Raw genomic sequence first — 16,876 nt, 5'->3', positions numbered from 1 at the left:
TGATATGGGAAGTCCAGAAAAGTGGAACTGTAATAAAATTTAATTGTTTAAATAATTTATAATAGAACTTCCAGAAAATATAGAAGATCATATAAGCTTTTGGATCTTTCTGAGTATAATACAAATAATAAAATTTGAGTAAAAGAGATTGATATATCTAGCCAAATAAAAATTCAAAAAAATACAATAAAATAAAAACAAAGAAGATGAATGACAAAATATATTTTAGTTGCATGGAAAAATGTTATTCTAAATATTGAGTGAGTTCAGAAAAATCAAGGAAAAGAATAACAATAAAAATCATTACCTATAAAGACATGTAATTAATATACTCACAAAAGAAGGCGGATGACGGCCGGGCGCGGTGGCTCACGCCTGTAATCCCAGCACTTTGGGAGGCCGAGGCGGGTGGATCATGAGGTCAGGAGATCGAGACCATCCTGGCTAACAAGGTGAAACCCCGTCTCTACTAAAAATACAAAAAATTAGCCGGGCGCGGTGGCGGGCGCCTGTAGTCCCAGCTACTCGGGAGGCTGAGGCAGGAGAATGGCGTGAACCCGGGAAGCGGAGCTTGCAGTGAGCCGAGATTGCGCCACTGCAGTCCGCAGTCCGGCCTGGGCGACAGAGCGAGACTCCGTCTCAAAAAAAAAAAAAAAAAAAAAGAAGGCGGATGACAAAGATGAATATATTCTACTGCCAAATGAAGTAAATTAATCATACCCCTCCTTTTTTGTATACCATATTATAAAACTTTTAAAAATAATGATTTCTAGAAGCATCTTGAATGCTCAAAAATAAGAAAATGTTAAATTATGTGCCAGTTTTGCTATTTTTAGCAGGCAGCTCTTATCATGAAACGCTTTGTAGCATAAAAAATTTATATACTATGCAACAGTAAAAAGTCATTAAAAAGAATGAAATAGATATATATGCTGACATTGACATAGAAAGATAGGCAACACGTACTATTAAGTGAAAAAATTCAAATAGGAGATGTCATGTTTATTTCTTAGTAAATAGAATGCAGGCACACATACGTAATAGTATATGCTATTGTGAGTACATACACAAATATATGGATAGATTTGCATGGAAAATTACTAAAGAAATACTCAAAATTTCTGACAGCCATTCCAGACATGAAATGGGTGGAAGCCTCATTAAATTTATATCTTTTAAATCAACTAATCATTATGTTCATTGAAATGATTTTTAGGAAATGTTTTTTTTTTAATGCAGAGGATCCGGCATTCTCTTGTTTTCATGTTGCTCACTGAAAGCTTTCTGTTAAGTGATGTGGTAATATATATCGGAGGTCTTAAAATGTGTTGATTCTTTAACCTAGCAAAACCTCTTCTGGACACTTACTTTAAGAAAATACCAGCCAGAAAAACAAATCTATAAGAAGACTCACTTTAATGTTATTTATGATGGTGGAAACCTGGAAGCAATACAAATATCCAACCCTAAAGTATCAATATTACTTAAAGATTTATGAAATGATATGATGAAATACTATGCATTCAGTAAAAATTATGTTGTAAAAAAACACTCTAGGGCATTGTTCAAGGTATAATGTTTACAAACTAGGTATCATCTAGCATACAGTGTAATTTCAATTATGTTAAAAATATATTTAGAAAGCCTGGAGGGATGTGTATGAAATGTTATGGTGTTTATGTCTGGGTAATTATATTATGGCTTTTTATTTTCTTATATGTGTTTTTCAAAATACTCCTAATATTCTCTAAAAACATGCCATATTTTACCATTAAAATAATCGTATTTTATTATATAACAAGATATACTTACTGTAGAAATATTTTAAAATACAGAAAATCAGCTAGAGGGAAATATTATTTAATAGTTCTACATATGTTATTATAGATATCTTTATTACTTTATATTTGGTAGGGATAAGGTTATGCTATATACTCTGTGTGTGTGTGTGTCTGTGTGTGTGTGGCCTTGTTTTTGTCTTATGTTTCATGAGCATATACCCTTGTAAATATATATTCATTTAAAACATAATATGCATTGAAGTTTTATTTCATTATGCAGATTATCTTAGGTTTTTTTTTATAGCCGTGATACAATGTTGGCTACTTCAGTTATTTACAGGTATTTATTATTAAAATGCTACCAGAAAACATCTGTAGCTAAATCCAATCACAAATCATTCATTATTTCCCAAAGAGAAAATTCTCTAAACAAAATTGATATCTCAAAGAAAGTGTACAATGTAGAGACCTTTGATTGACATTGGCAGATTGAATCCGGCAGTTTAAGGCAATTGACACGTCCATGTGCCAGTTTTGCTTTTTTAGTAAACAGGTTTTATTTGTGTAATCAAGTAACACATAATATTGTATTTTCCAATGGTTAACAAGTTGTCAATTCAGCTCCCAAGAGAATTATTGCTCTATAGTAATCCAAATTCTCTAAGGCTTATTAGTAAAACACATGGTGTACTCTAAACTTGGAGCTGGAGTTTCACAAATGACTAAGGTAACATCTCCTCTCCTCAAAATGGTTACACTATAATGGGCATACAGATACAAAATAATGTTCATTTTTGATGACATACAATGGCATAATGTAGTAAAGTTGTCTTATGTTTTTTAGAAACATAATGGTACCTAATAGGGCAAGTAAATTCCTGATTCCAACTTATTTGACAAAAGAGTCAGGGAACAAACCAATAAATATACTGACCTATAGATCCATTTATTAAAATAAAATAGTAATATGTTAAACACAGTGACATACATCTATACAATATATGCATGTGTAGGTTTCATATAAAATCTAGGAATGCCACAACCATTGTTTTTTCTCATTTTTATTCTGTCAAATCTGTTGATTATGCCTGTCATTATTTTGTAAGCTATGTTTGTTTAAAATCACTATCCACTTAACAAATAGTTATTGACTAACTTCTATTAACAAAGCACTGAGAATATAAAGGAAAATGAAATGTGGTACCTGTCCTCAAGGACCCTCATTACGGCCTAGTGAAGGAGACAATGGTCAAAAACTCATATGGATCTCAAGACAGTTCCTGCATTAATATAGAAACTGATCAGCACATGATAATTTTAAACATGAATTTAGTTATTATCCATGCAACATATATTTATTGAGCTCTTATTAGGTACTAGGCTCTGTGCTTAATGCAGTAGTAAATAAGAAGACCCCAGACCTGCCATCCTGGAGAAAGAGATAAGGATATCAATTTAAACAGCTGCATGCATTCTCCTGAATAATGTAGGCTTGAAAGAATTCTCAGTGGGTTCAGGGAATACATTTTAAACTATTTACTTGTTTTCAAGTATGGGCACTCAATTTATGCTTTGTTATGTGAATATTTCAAATTGGAATATGGAAATGCATATAAATCAATGAGTTTTTAAATGCTATTATAAGTAAAATTGCAGAAATAGAGTTAGCAGGGTCATTTCTACTTTTGTTTAGTTTGGTGGCAAAGAGCAAATTAATGTTCTTTCTCTAAGTGTAAGATTGCAAAGAAAAACAAATGCAAATGTATTGAAATTATATAATTGCTTTTAAGTTCTTTACAATATACAACACAATTCGGCTACATATTAAAATTTCCAGGTTAGAGGAGAGACAGAGATAAATATATGAAAAGAATGTGCTCACAATGTGAGACATTGTTTTGGTAATAATTCAAGATACATTATTCTTAGTGTGACTTTTTTTCCTTCCCCATAAAAGTGTCTACAAGTTGATACTAGGTGTCAAAAGGACAGCTTAGTAAGCATGTTTAATGGTATTATGTTATAATACATATCTAGCATAGACTTTTTTGTATTACTTATAATGTGCAAAAACTACAATTATGTATTTTTTGAGTATTATATCACTCAGTCTTATGTATATAGTTCCATATAAAGCAGTTATTTTAAAACATAATACTCTGAAAATCTTTACTTTCCCTGAAAAATATTTCTGCAACTTATTAAATTCTCATTGATTATAAATTTTTTTATCATATGTATTGTTTATAAATTGCCCCAATGCTTTGTGGAGTTGGTGTGAATTTATTAAGTAGATTTCACATGCTGCAATTTAAAAAAAATTTAACTTAAATTTATGAATGCATTTTTCACACTCCACTTACGTAGGTTAATGGATGAGACAAGTTAGTAATGGGATTAGAAAAAATATCAAACAATCATTAGATCAAAAGGAAAAAAAAAATCTTTGATAATCAACTGGTCTATGGCCTTAATTAAACAGTACACATCACTGTAATATTATAAAGCATTAATTTAGGAATTTTAGTTGGTTCTTTCTTAGTGCACTGTATTTTAGTAATGGCATTAAAAAATATTAAAAACAATTTAGTTTATTTTTCATTTGAGGGAGACTTGATGATGTTGAGAAGTACGTAGTGTTAAGAAATTATAAAAGATATGCTTTCTTCTTTAATGGAGTCATTAAAGACTATTTTGGTTTTGGTGCTTATTTTACAAAAAGTCCTAAAACCAAGAAACTCGAACATTATTTATAAACCATTATATCCTGTTCATAATAATTACAACTGCACAAGAAGTGGAAGAGGAGGAGGAGGAGAAGGAAATGACATAGGTTGATGAGCTTATTAAAATGTTTAAAAATCTTTTAGGAATATGATTTGAATGGTATCACTTTTCCAGTCTGCTTCAGCTTTTCATGTCCTTGGAGGTAAGCCTGGAAAAAAGAGACTTCATTAAAAGAGCTTAGAACATGGTAGGTGACTCAGTTGGAAGGGGATACAGATCATGGCTCTAGGGAGAGGGTTTTGTCAATGACTAGGCAGGACCTGACTCAAGAAGGCCAAGGATTTTGTAACTGTTACATTTCCAGGAAGAAAACCTAAGTCCTGACCAAAATCAACATTGAAGTATCCTTGAATGCTCTGGGGAAATGAGAGTAGGAAACTGAGATGGGATGGACATATTCAATGGCTTGCTCCTGGTTTTCCAGCTCCAAGACCATCCTCAGGTCCCATCCTGGAAAAGCTAGACACTAAATCTGAACATAGGTGATGAATATGCTTCTTACACCTGTGATATCTAAAACAGAGTTCATGATTCTTTGCTCCAGACTCTGACCTAACCCTTTCCATATATCCCATGTAGAAAAGCTGCACCTTGTTGCTCAAGCCAAGAACCCAGAAGTCTTTCGTCTTTCTCTTTCTTTTTACTTTTCTTTCTTTCAACCCAGAAGTCTTCCCTCCTTCCTTCCTTCCTCTTTCTTTCTCTCTCCCCCCTCCCTCCCTTCCTCCCTCTCTTTCCTTCCTTCCTTTCTCTCTCTCTCTCCCCCCTTCCTCCCTCTTTCTCTCTCTCCCCCTTCCTCCCTCTTTCTTTCCTTTTTCTTTCTTCTTTCTCTTTCTTTCTCCCCCCTCCCTCCCTTCCTCCCACTCACTGTTTCTCTTTCTTTCTCTCTCTTTTTCTTTCTCTCCGTTTCTCTCTTTTTCTCTCACTTTCTCTTTCTTACTTTTCTTTCTTCCTTTCCTTTTTTCTTTCCCTCCCTCCCTTTCTTCCTTTCTCTTTTTCTTTCTTTTCTTATTTCTTTCACTCTCTCTCTTTTTCTCTTTTTCTTTTTCTTTCTCTCCTTCTTTCTTCTTTCTTTTTTTTCACTTTCTTTCTTTCCTTTTCTTCCTTTCTCTTTCTTTTCCTTTCATTATAACTCATTCTGCATTTCTGACTGCTCAAGCTTCAAAATGTATTTTGTATCTCTCCAGTTCCCTCTAGCTCGTCTGCCACCACTCTAGTCCAAGCCAGTTTGGAAAAAGTGGCTGGAATATAATAGGTCCTTCATAAAATATTTGTTGAATGAATAAATGTTATGGTATTTGGACTTGCCCCTACCCCTCTTTTTTCTTATCTATACTTCACACTTCTGAAAAGACAAATCAGATAATGTTACTTCTCTGCTACAAATATTTAATGGCTTCCACCTCTTGGAAATCTATTTTGCTCATTACTGTGACCTACAAACTCTGCACACTCTAGTTCTTGCTCACCTCTCCATTATCTTGTTCCATGCCTTAGAATTCTTGCTTTCTACTCTACAAATACACAGGTTTCTTTTCTTCCTTAAGCATATCTATCTCTTATTGCTACAATGTTTTTGGATGTTCAGCTTCCTCTGCCTGAAATACATATATTTTTCTATTTTTGAATGGTTGGTTTAGTCTTATTTTTGAAATCATTGTCCCAATGTCATTTCTCCAGAAAGACCGTCCTTAACCTCCTCAAAAGTTTTTTCTCCAGTTACTTTACATTACATTACATTTCTTAACTTACAACTCTAGAGGTCACAAATCTGAACTATCTTGATTTGTTCTGGCTTGTACAAGAAGAAAATCAAGGCATTTGTTCTCTGGGCTCTTATTGAGAGAGAGAGACTCTGGGAAGAATCCATTTTGCAACTCAAATTGTTGGCAGAATCCATTTCTTTGCAGTTTGTTTGTTTTAGATGGAGTCTCACTCTGTCACCCAGGCTGGAGTGCAATGGTGCGATCTTGGCTTACTGCAACCTCTGCCTTACAGGTTCAAGCAATTCTCCTGCCTCAGCCTCCCTGAGTAGCTGGCATTACAGGCACCCACCACCAGGCCCGGCTAATTTTTGTATTTTTAGTAGAGACAGGGTTTCCCCATGTTGGCCAGGCTGGTCTCAAACTCCTGACCTCAAGTGATCCACCTGCCTTGGCCTCCCAAAGTGCTGGGATTACAGGCGTGAGCCACTGTGCCTGGCAGACAGTTCTTCCTTTCCTTGTTATCTGTCAACCAAGGGATGCTCTCTGATTAATGACCTAAATCACAGGGTTTGATTGAATAACCAGTAGACTGGAATCTTTGGGGGACATATTTAAAATTCTACCTCTCACAGGGAAGGTGATAAAACTTCTTAGAAGTATATGCATTTAAGCAACTGTTTTTCTTCAAAGTTTTATGATAGGAAAAATAAAGGAACTGTTGAACAAAGTAGGACCAATAGAAATGTAGAAATGTCATTTGGTTTGTTAAGAGACACACTAGAAGATAATATTATCTTAAAGTTAGAGAAAGAGTGGTGAATCTTGTCAAAATGCTACAGAGAAGAAACTATGGCATTTGAAAATTAAGATGTCAATCATGACTTCTGAAAAAGCAATTTCAAAAGGGTGGTATGGCCTGATTTTAGTAGTTTAGGGATGATTTGCATGTTATGAAATTGAGCAGGAATGTTTACAGTACTATTTTCAGCGCACTGATAAGAAAATAAAAGAAAAATGGTGAAGTGGCAATGCTCTTTGGTGGGGATAATTGTTGGAACAATATATTTTTCTTCAAACCAGAAGCTTGCTCCTCTGAAGATGCAGTTCATAAAATAAAACTGGGCCTAGAGGTCTTGCTATATTATTTCTTTAGTGATTCAGAAATATCTAGAGCCACATTTAGAAATGTATTATGTAAACTATATCAATACACAAACTTTGGAGGACAGCTTTTATAAAACAAATGAGAGCTCTGTATTAATATGCAAAGATATTAAAACAAAAATTCTTAGTGTATACTAAAAGCCACACACAATAGAAAAGGAAAGCAACAGTGATCTTGGGATTAAAACCAACTTGATTTAAACTCTTATCAAAGTGAGATTTCAAGTCTTTATAAAGTTCTCATGATGTTATTTCCTACCAGTCATTTTCCCGTGAAGCTAAGTCCCACACAATTTTTCTACATTTTTGAACTTTTTTTTTCAGATGGGCAACTGATGGTCAGACTCCAGTGGTTCTTCAAAACTTTCTAGGAGGTAAACAAGATGAAAGGGAAAGCACACAAATTTGCTGGTATGTATTTGCAAGAAGTAAATGGGTGCCATCTGTTAGAAGATTTCATTTGCTGCCTAATTAATTCTCCCATGTTCCCTGGTACACCCATGCAAAGCTCATAGATACAATTGGAAAAGGGAACAGATGGTGTCTTTCAGTTATCTATTGATTACTGTGATCTTCTTGCTAATTAATCTAAATAAAGCACCCATTACTTAATCTTAAACAAAAATTCAACCAGATAAGATTTTGGGGTATATCATTAAAAAACCATTTTCTTTCGTTTGCATTTGCAAAAAGCATCCTGGTATTGACCTCAAGTTGCAAGGATTCAAAGAAGTTACAGAAGCATCCACATCAGTCAGAATGTTTTGTCCTCAAATCCATCACAAGTGGATCTTCAAACCTTTAGTATTAGAACTCTGATCAGATGACAACTGCCAGAGATTGTCTGAATTTTTAAAATTTCAGATTTACTTTCATTAAAAATCCAAGCAATATTTTGTTAGTGAAATCTAACATTGTGTACTCCAAGGTTGGGTATTTGAGACATATATTCCTAATTTGCTTTACTAGTGTTAATAAATGTTTGCTTCTCCTTTAAAATTACTGAATATTTGGGTTTTTAAAAATATCTTTAACTGATTTTGACCTTTACATTTAAACTACATTTATGTTCCTCACTATCCTTCTTTTTAGGAATTTGGAAAACACGAACCCTGGAATTTGGAGGAGTCACTTCCACTGGAAAATACTTTTATATTATTTATAGTAAGTAGAGAATGCTTAAAAATCATTAGTATCATTTCATATGGCTGGATAAATAATAATTATGAATTATTACAGAAAACAAACTCAAAAATATATTTCAATAGTTTTTGGGGAAAAGGTGGCTTTTGGTTACATGGGGATAATTTCTTTAGTGGTGATTTCTGAGATTTTGGTGAACCCATCACCCAAGCAGTGTACCCCATATCCAATGTGTAGTCTTTCATCCCTCACTGCCCCCCCGACCTTTTCCCCATGAGTCCCTGAAGTCCATTGTATCATTCTTACGCCTTTGTGTCCTCATAGCTTAGCTCCCACTTACAAGTGACAGCATATGATGTTTGGTTTTCCACTCCTGAGTTACTTCACTCAAAAATAATGGTCTCCAATTTATCCAGGTTGTTGAGAATGCCATTATTTCATTCCTTTTTATTTTATGGCTGAGTAGTATTCTATGGTATATATATACCACATTTTCTTTAACCACTCATTGGTTAACAGACATTTAGGTTGGTTCCATATCTTTGCTTTTGCGAATTGTGCTGATATAAACATGTGTGCGTGTGTCTTTTTCATATAATGACTTATTTTCCTTGGGGTAGATACCCAGTAGTGGGATTGCTGGATAGAATGGTAGCTCTACTTTAGTTATTTAAGGAATCTCTACACTGCTTAGAAAACAAACTCAATTTAGCTTCAATAGGGTATGATTTTGTTATCTTAAAAGAAGTAATTACCCTAACGATAAGGTGATTCTATTTCAAAAATACATAAAAGCATTTTAACAGCAAACAATTTAGGTTCTTTCCAACAATGTAAGATTATTTTATATTCTCCGGCCCCTAGAACTTCAGTAAGTCAGGCAGTTTAATTATCTATTTAGTGTAACATTTTTCTTGGGAAATAGCAATTTGGTGAATAATTGATTCCTTAGAAGTTCCATTTTTCTCTATAGTTCAGTTATAACACTCATCATACTGTATTGCTATTCATCTTTTATTTTACATGACTAACTTTTTCATAAGTAAGTCTTAGAGGTTGGTTCCGGAAATCAGAGACCAAATCTAATTTATCTTTTTATCCCCAGCATCTAGAGATGTGCTTGGCACATTGTTGGGGGCCTATGAATGTTGTCCAAATGAATGAATGATCAAATTTTACCTGAAAGGGTGATGATAGGATGTAAGACAACCTTAGAATACATTTTATTCAGGAAAAGAAAAATGAAGCTGATTATTTGGTGAACATGAGGAAACTCAAAATATTTTTTTTAAAAAAAGATTCATTCATTTCCATGTTAAAATGTTTCACTTCTGTTGTTTCACTATGGTTTATGCTTCAGAGATGTAATACACCCTAAAGCAGCTCTCTGTAAAGTTCTTAGCTTGGCATGCCTTTTGATTGCTTCCTGCAGTGAAGTGCAGTAGAGAGGAAGCATAGTATTAGCTTCCTCTATCTTGAGCCATTCTGACCATGGCCTGGGACTGCCATCACCCTTATCTGCCACTTGCATCCCAACTTGAACAAATGACAAGTCCCTGCCTCCAACCTAAAATATTTTTTTCTTCTCCTCTCTGACCACAAATTAATACATGTCTGAGATCCAGATCTTGTTCTTACCAGATTCTCCACCTACCAGGTTTCTATATGTGGAAATCACTAACTTAAACAACAACAAACTGTCTGAGTAAGAAGGTGCCTTAGCTAGAGCTGTTGCCTAATTATTCTGTCAAATTCACCTGCAGCACTTCTGATGAATAATATCACAGGCTCTTCTTGGTCTGTTCATTAGGAGGGACTTCGTCGTCTTAAAAAATTCATTCTAGTGCAATTCAGCACTTTATGACATTCTTTCTAATACTAAGCCAAAATATATTACTTTCTAACATGTTTGTGAGATATTCTCTAGAAGATCATATTACAAATCTAAACATAGGCCATCCACATCTGAATAGGACTTTCTGATAATTCAAGTTACCTGACATTTATAATTCTTCAGGAGTATCCTTCATGCAGAGAGGAAATAAGAAGCACTTAATGAATAATGAGAATTGGCAGGAGAAAGAATCCAAAAAAATCATTGTCTTTAATCACATCCAAGTTAAGGAACATCAATTAGACTAGTATTGCATTTAAGACACATAAATGTATAAGACATTATGATTTCTTTGTATGCAAACAAAATTGCGATGCAAACCTTGCCTAAAAATGTGATAATGATAAAAACTAAGTATTAGACTACAATCGGCAAGGAAAAATTATATAGAATTTTTAAAAATCAAAGTAAATTTAAAATTTGTATGGGAAGAAAAAGCCACATACTATGACAATATTTGAATGGATAAGCGAATGCATAAATAAGTTAATTTATGTAGGAATTAATGGTTAGGGGAAATAATGGAGAGAGGAATAGATGTAGAAGCAGGGGAATTTCAGGCAATGTCAAAATTCAAAGGCAGGTGAACTACGTATAAAATGTCTAATTATAATGCAGTAGACTAATACTTTTGAATATAATTTTTGAGGAATTGTATTTAATTACCAATTGAAATTTTAATTCCGGTGCTGTCATTATTTATTTATCTATCGAGATATTTTTGTGACAATTTAATCCTGCAATCAGCTAAAGAAAATCATTCTTCTATTGGTTGAGCTGTCCTTAGTTTAAGCTACTTTTGGCTAGTAACTTACTGACATGGAGATTTAGTAGAAAGAGATTCCTTAGATTAATTAAAACTCAACATTAAGAATAGCCATCACATTTATTGATCCTGTGCTATATGTCAGGCATCGTGTTAAACAGTTTGCATTGCATCATCTTACCTAATCCTCACAACGACTGTATCAAAAAGGAATTGTTGTGCAATTTCCTAAATATTAAAACCTGAGATATAAGGAGGTTGAGTAAATTGCCTAAGGTCACAGTTCATGAGCAGTAGAGCTGGGGTGCAAACTTCAGTACCCTGATTCTGGAGCAATAATTTCAAAGTGCAATATCATGGCAGTTTCACATCTTTGCTAGGAAATCAGGGCATACAGACAAATGACTTTGAGATATCTATATTTCTACTTTCTAGTCCATTTTTCTCATAACATTTGAAGGCACGTGCAGCAAGGCTAAGGGAATGTAGACAACCACAAGGCAGGGGTGGAGGGGAGAAAGGAACAAAGGGAGGTAAATACTCAAACATTTAATCATAAATGCAGATATTTCAGATTATCATATGTAGGTTTCAGGGCTGCTGGTTGCCCGCTATTCGAGGCAGTACAAGATGCTGTGAAGCCCAGGGCTCAGGGAGATGGGTGAGCAGTCCACTTGCCCTTACCAGGCAGAGACCTTCTGCCTTCATTTGTCATGCTTCAGTAGTGACTGGCTCTGTGTCCTGTAATTTTCCCTGCCCATGCTACTGTGGCTTCCGAGTGAGTGCTTTCAGGTTGGACAGTCACGAATCAAGCGTCAAGGAAATCTATCACTGAATGGGTTTGCTCTGCTCTATTCTAAAGAATGTTCTTTTTTAGAGAAGAAACTAGTCCCTGAGAAGTGATTTTTCACTTTGCATAAAAACAAAAGAAACAAGCAACAAAAAACCCTAAGCCTTCGAATTTAATTGAATAAAATAAAATTCTCAATCAAGAACAAATCTGGCACAGTGCCTGGCAGGTGGAAAAGCCTCAATAAATATAACTTTTATTGGACTGTAAAGGACAGATATCTCAATTCGGTCCTGAGATTGTAGAGTGATAGCCGAAAGAATTTTTATACTTATCCTTCCTTCCCCAATTTAAGATATTATCAGTCAGAAGAAACAATTGATGCATTAACATATTTGGGGAGGAAAAACTTATGATAATTACATGTAGATAATTCAGTTTAAGCAATGTTAAAATATGAAAATACGTGCATCTTAGCATTGATTAAAGAGGGGAACACATTTCTGAGCATTCGGTTACAGTCCCCAACTTTGGTGAAGGCATCATGGTTGGACCAGTGAAGAATTAAAAAAAAAAAAAAAACATGCTTCCACTCCTTAATATTATAAATCCTTGAGTAACTGAAAATGCATCTATGAACCATAGTGACTGTTCCACCTGGTTATTTAAAAACATTGATTTGTAAGGAAAGTAAGAATTTTGTCCATCTGAAGCTCAATTAAAATGACGGCTCTCTAGTTTCAGTGCAGAAGAGGTACAAAAGAGATTTATAAACATACTGTTATTCCAAAATTGTAAAATCCATCTCCCATTTAGGTACACAGCTTATTAAACTTTTGGATGATTAAGCCAAGAAAGAATTAAAAACAGCAGTTTTCTTTTGTTTCTGTAGCAAATCCCTAATATCATTTTTATAGCCTGTCTGAGGCAAGGGATTAAATCTTAGTTTATTTCAACATTCTAGTTTCCCTGTTTGTCCATTTATATATTCTAGTAAATATCTATCTTCATCACTACTGAAGATAAAACTACTTGTATTCCTATCTTATTCTTCATGAGAAATTCCAGATATTGCTACAAATAAAAGAGAAAAAGGAGAGGAGTCAAGTATGATGATGGTGTTTTAGATACTGTACAGTATATTTCTAGACCATTAACAAGCAAATAGAATATAAACAAATCAATAGCAGAACCTATAAAAGCACAAAAAGGCAGGACATTAGAGTTTAAAGAATGTTCTTGTCATTGTATTACTGGAATCTGCTACAAATACATGCCCAGGGGAGTAGTCAATTTATTTTTATTCTTGTTGTTATGAGTTGACTATTCTGGGTGCAGTATTCAGAAGAGCCTGAAAAAGGGAGCCATTTGGAGTCTCCGGTCATTTGGTGAGGATTTTTAGAGTGAGATGCGAAATCACAGCAGGTTCCATATAAGATGTCACGACATTCTCGGAAACCCAAGAATACTCAGAAATGTTTGGCTGTCTATGCATAAAGTTTTCTTCATCTGAAAACTTCTAAGCATTTCTCAAGGATTTATACTGCACATCTCAACCCTTGATGCAATGGAAGTACAATCTGTGGTTAAATAACATTACATAATGAGATCACATTAAAACAAGATGAGTTTTGGAGAAGACTTACCTGACCAAGTAATATAACAAGCAAGGATAGAACATAGGCTATCATTCTTATTCTTGCAGCCAATTAATGATGTCCTTTATCTTCCACCTATTTTTTCTTCTCTTATTTTGATGGGTAATGCACTGATTGTGAATCTTGCTTAGTAAGAAAGCCCTTACGTTTCTTTTTAAGTGGTTCCTGGTAGATCTGTCTGTCAGGATAATGGCAATCTTTGTTAGGTTTTGTCTAAGTGATTATTATAACAAGAGTTCATGCTGAGTTCTATTCATACTCCTCCTCCTCTATTTCATAGCAGTAACACTATCTGCCTTTGATCCTCAGGGTACATTAATCTGCATAGGCTGCCATAACAGAATACCAAGGCATGGGTGGTTTAAACAACAAAAATATTTTTTTCTGGTGGCTGTAAGATCAGTGCTCCCACTGTTGGCTTTTGGCTTCTCTATTCCTGGCTTTCAGACAGCCACCTTCTCCCTGTGTTCTCAAATGGCTTTTTGTCTGTGCCCAGGCAGAAAGACAGAGTTCTCTGGTGTCTTTTCTCTTTTATAAGGACACCAGTCTTAACAGATTAGGATCCCATCTTTCGGACCTCAGTCAACCTTAATTATTTTCCTAAAGGCCCTATCTCCAAACACAGTTGAACTGGGGGTTAGGGCTTCAACATATGAATTTGACAGGGAGACACAACTCAGTCCATAACACAAGATCTATCGCCTCAGTCAATTTTTATGAAATACTGTTTTCTTAAGCCTAGTTTTGAGGATTGAGGACACTTGTGTCAACATGTCTTAACTGTTTTACCAGGAAATTCTTGCCAAGAAAGATAAAGCTGTATACTAACAAATAAAAATAAAGCTGTATGCTAACAAATAACCCCACTGCTTCAGGAAATTCTTGCAAACCAAATTACCTGAGCAAATAGCTTACTCATCTGGTCAAACAGCTTCCTTATCAGACAACAGTTTCCTTATCAAGAATTGTCTCCAATTCCTCACCTCATTGTGCTTATGAATTTTAAACTATTAGGTCATGAATTTTGCCCAATTTCAACCAGTTTCCCTCTTTGAAAGATCTGCCTTAAACCACTTTGGCCCAAAACAAAAATCATATATATATTCTTCCCTAAATTCTTCTTTCTGTCTCTATAGAGAATCTGTCAAGGTGACTTTATCCTTTGCTGCTGTGAGTTTAAAACTTTGGTTTCCTTGAGTCACAGGTTTCTTTGGTAGTCTTTTGTGGGGAGTTGAGAGTCAACATTTCATAGTGGTCAGAATAACCAGTTTCCAAGTTAGTGGAATCTTTATCATGCCACACAGGTAAAAGCATTCTTCTGGTATGTACTAGCAACTTCTAAATGAGATCACAGTATGACAATGGAAAATAAAACTTTAGAGGCCGGGCAAGGTGGCTCACGCCTGTAATCCCAGCCCTTTGGGAGGCCAAGGCGGGTAGATCATGAGGTCAGGAGATCGAGACCATCCTGGCTAACATGGTGAAACCCCGTCAGTACTAAAAATGCAAAAAATTAGCTGGGCGTGGTGGCGGGTACCTGTAGTCCCAGCTACTCAGGAGGCTGAGGCAGGAGAATGGCGTGAACCCGGGAGGCGGAGCTTGCAATGAGCTGAGATCGCGCGACTGCACTCCAGCCTGGGTGACAGAGCAAGACTCTGTCTCCAAAAAAAAAAAAAAAAAAACCCTTTAGAAAGCAGTTTGTTAGGTATAACCAGGAGAGGTTCCACTCTTATTTTCATCCTTTCAGTTCCTTCACCTTCACCTGTATATTATGACTATGAGAAAAATGACTGCCCCAGTTCCATTAACCTTCAGTCTGTGACTATTTTCATTTGTAAATTCAGAAGAGAAAAAATCCAATTGCCATATTTTGAGTCCATGTCAATCAGCTATGATTCTAGTTGCAGGGTCATCTACAGGGACCTCTGGTACTGCCCAGTGGATTGAGGCTGTTTCTATAAAATTGTGACAGAAAAGGTGAGGAACAGTGACAGTTGATGTTCACTGTTGGTTTCATAGAGTTAAAGAATTGCCGTCTGAGCATATATGTTTACTATACTTGTAAAGGCCGTACGATGCTTCTCATTGACTAAAACTCAACTTAATGTCTGTAGTGTGGGTTCCCAAACTGTGTATCAAGGCATGCTGGTATGCCAGTGAACTCATAGGGTTGTTGCTGGCATAGTTTAAATATTTGAGGAAAATAGTGGTACTTGACATTTGTCGGACACTATGTCAAGTACCACTATGTCAAGTAAAACACTAGCTCAAGGTAATCCATAGTTTCCACATTAGCATACGTTAAATTCTTTCAATGACATCGTTTCTTTTGAAGCTGTGTTTTTGGTGATTGCAGCCACTAAAAAGCAAATGCCATGTGAAAACTAACATGTAACAGGAAGAGTGATGGCATCCAAACTGATTCCAAGGTTGAAAGATTGTATAATGTCCCCAGGTACATAAATACCATTAGGCAGTAATTGTGAATAAGAAGGAAACATTTTTTGTGACTACTTTATCAAACTGCTACTAAGCTCTTAAGATATTAAATTCTTATTAGGTTGTTTGTATCTACTTAATAAGTGAAACCCTTAGATGTTTCTTGTGGTCATTAAAAATTTTCTGGGACACTAAACTGAAGAAATGTGGTAACCTCTGTCTTGTAGTGTTTCTCTTCTTATTCCATTTTTTAAAGTCAGAGGTACTCTGTGTTAATAATTTTTTTAAATTTTCAAGTATAAAAAGAATCCCCTGGGGATATTGTTAGAATATAGATTTCTGGGTTCAATTCCCATAGATACAGATACATATTTCTGGGATGGGACCCAGCAATTTGTATGTTAACAAAAAAGCGATTCGATTGTCAGTCTGTTCAGGCTGCCATAACAAAATACTCAAAACTGGGTGGCTTAAACAACAGACATTTATTTCTCACAATTCTGGAGGCTGGGAAGTTGAAGATAAACTGCACGTCTATTCCATTTCCCTGTGAGGGATTTCTTCGTGGCCTGCAGATGACTGCCTTTTTGCTGTGTCCTCACATGGCTTTTTCTCTATGTGCAAGTGGAAAGAAAACTATCTCTAGCTCACGTAAGGACACCAGACCTATTGGATTACGGCCCTGCCCTGAAGACTTCACTCAAACCTAATTATCTCCTACAGGCTTCACTTATCTAGTGACATTGGGGGT

At 35.2% G+C, this 16,876-nt stretch overlaps 1 long non-coding RNA gene across 2 annotated transcripts in view; it reads left to right on the top strand.

The window, feature by feature from the left end:
* Positions 1-16,876, top strand: part of LINC02296 (long intergenic non-protein coding RNA 2296) — a 268,818-nt gene that overhangs the window by 164,675 nt on the left and 87,267 nt on the right. For both annotated transcript variants that reach the window (XR_007064294.1, XR_007064293.1), the window contains 2 exons: positions 7,760-7,846; positions 8,528-8,599. This is a non-coding gene — a long non-coding RNA (long intergenic non-protein coding RNA 2296). The remainder of the gene's footprint in view (positions 1-7,759; positions 7,847-8,527; positions 8,600-16,876) is intronic.

The sequence above is a fragment of the Homo sapiens genome, chromosome 14, assembly GCF_000001405.40.
Source record: "Homo sapiens chromosome 14, GRCh38.p14 Primary Assembly".
NCBI classification, from domain to species: domain Eukaryota; kingdom Metazoa; phylum Chordata; class Mammalia; order Primates; family Hominidae; genus Homo; species Homo sapiens.
Note: the sequence above shows the minus strand (reverse complement) of the source record. Positions and strands in the feature narration are given on the sequence as shown.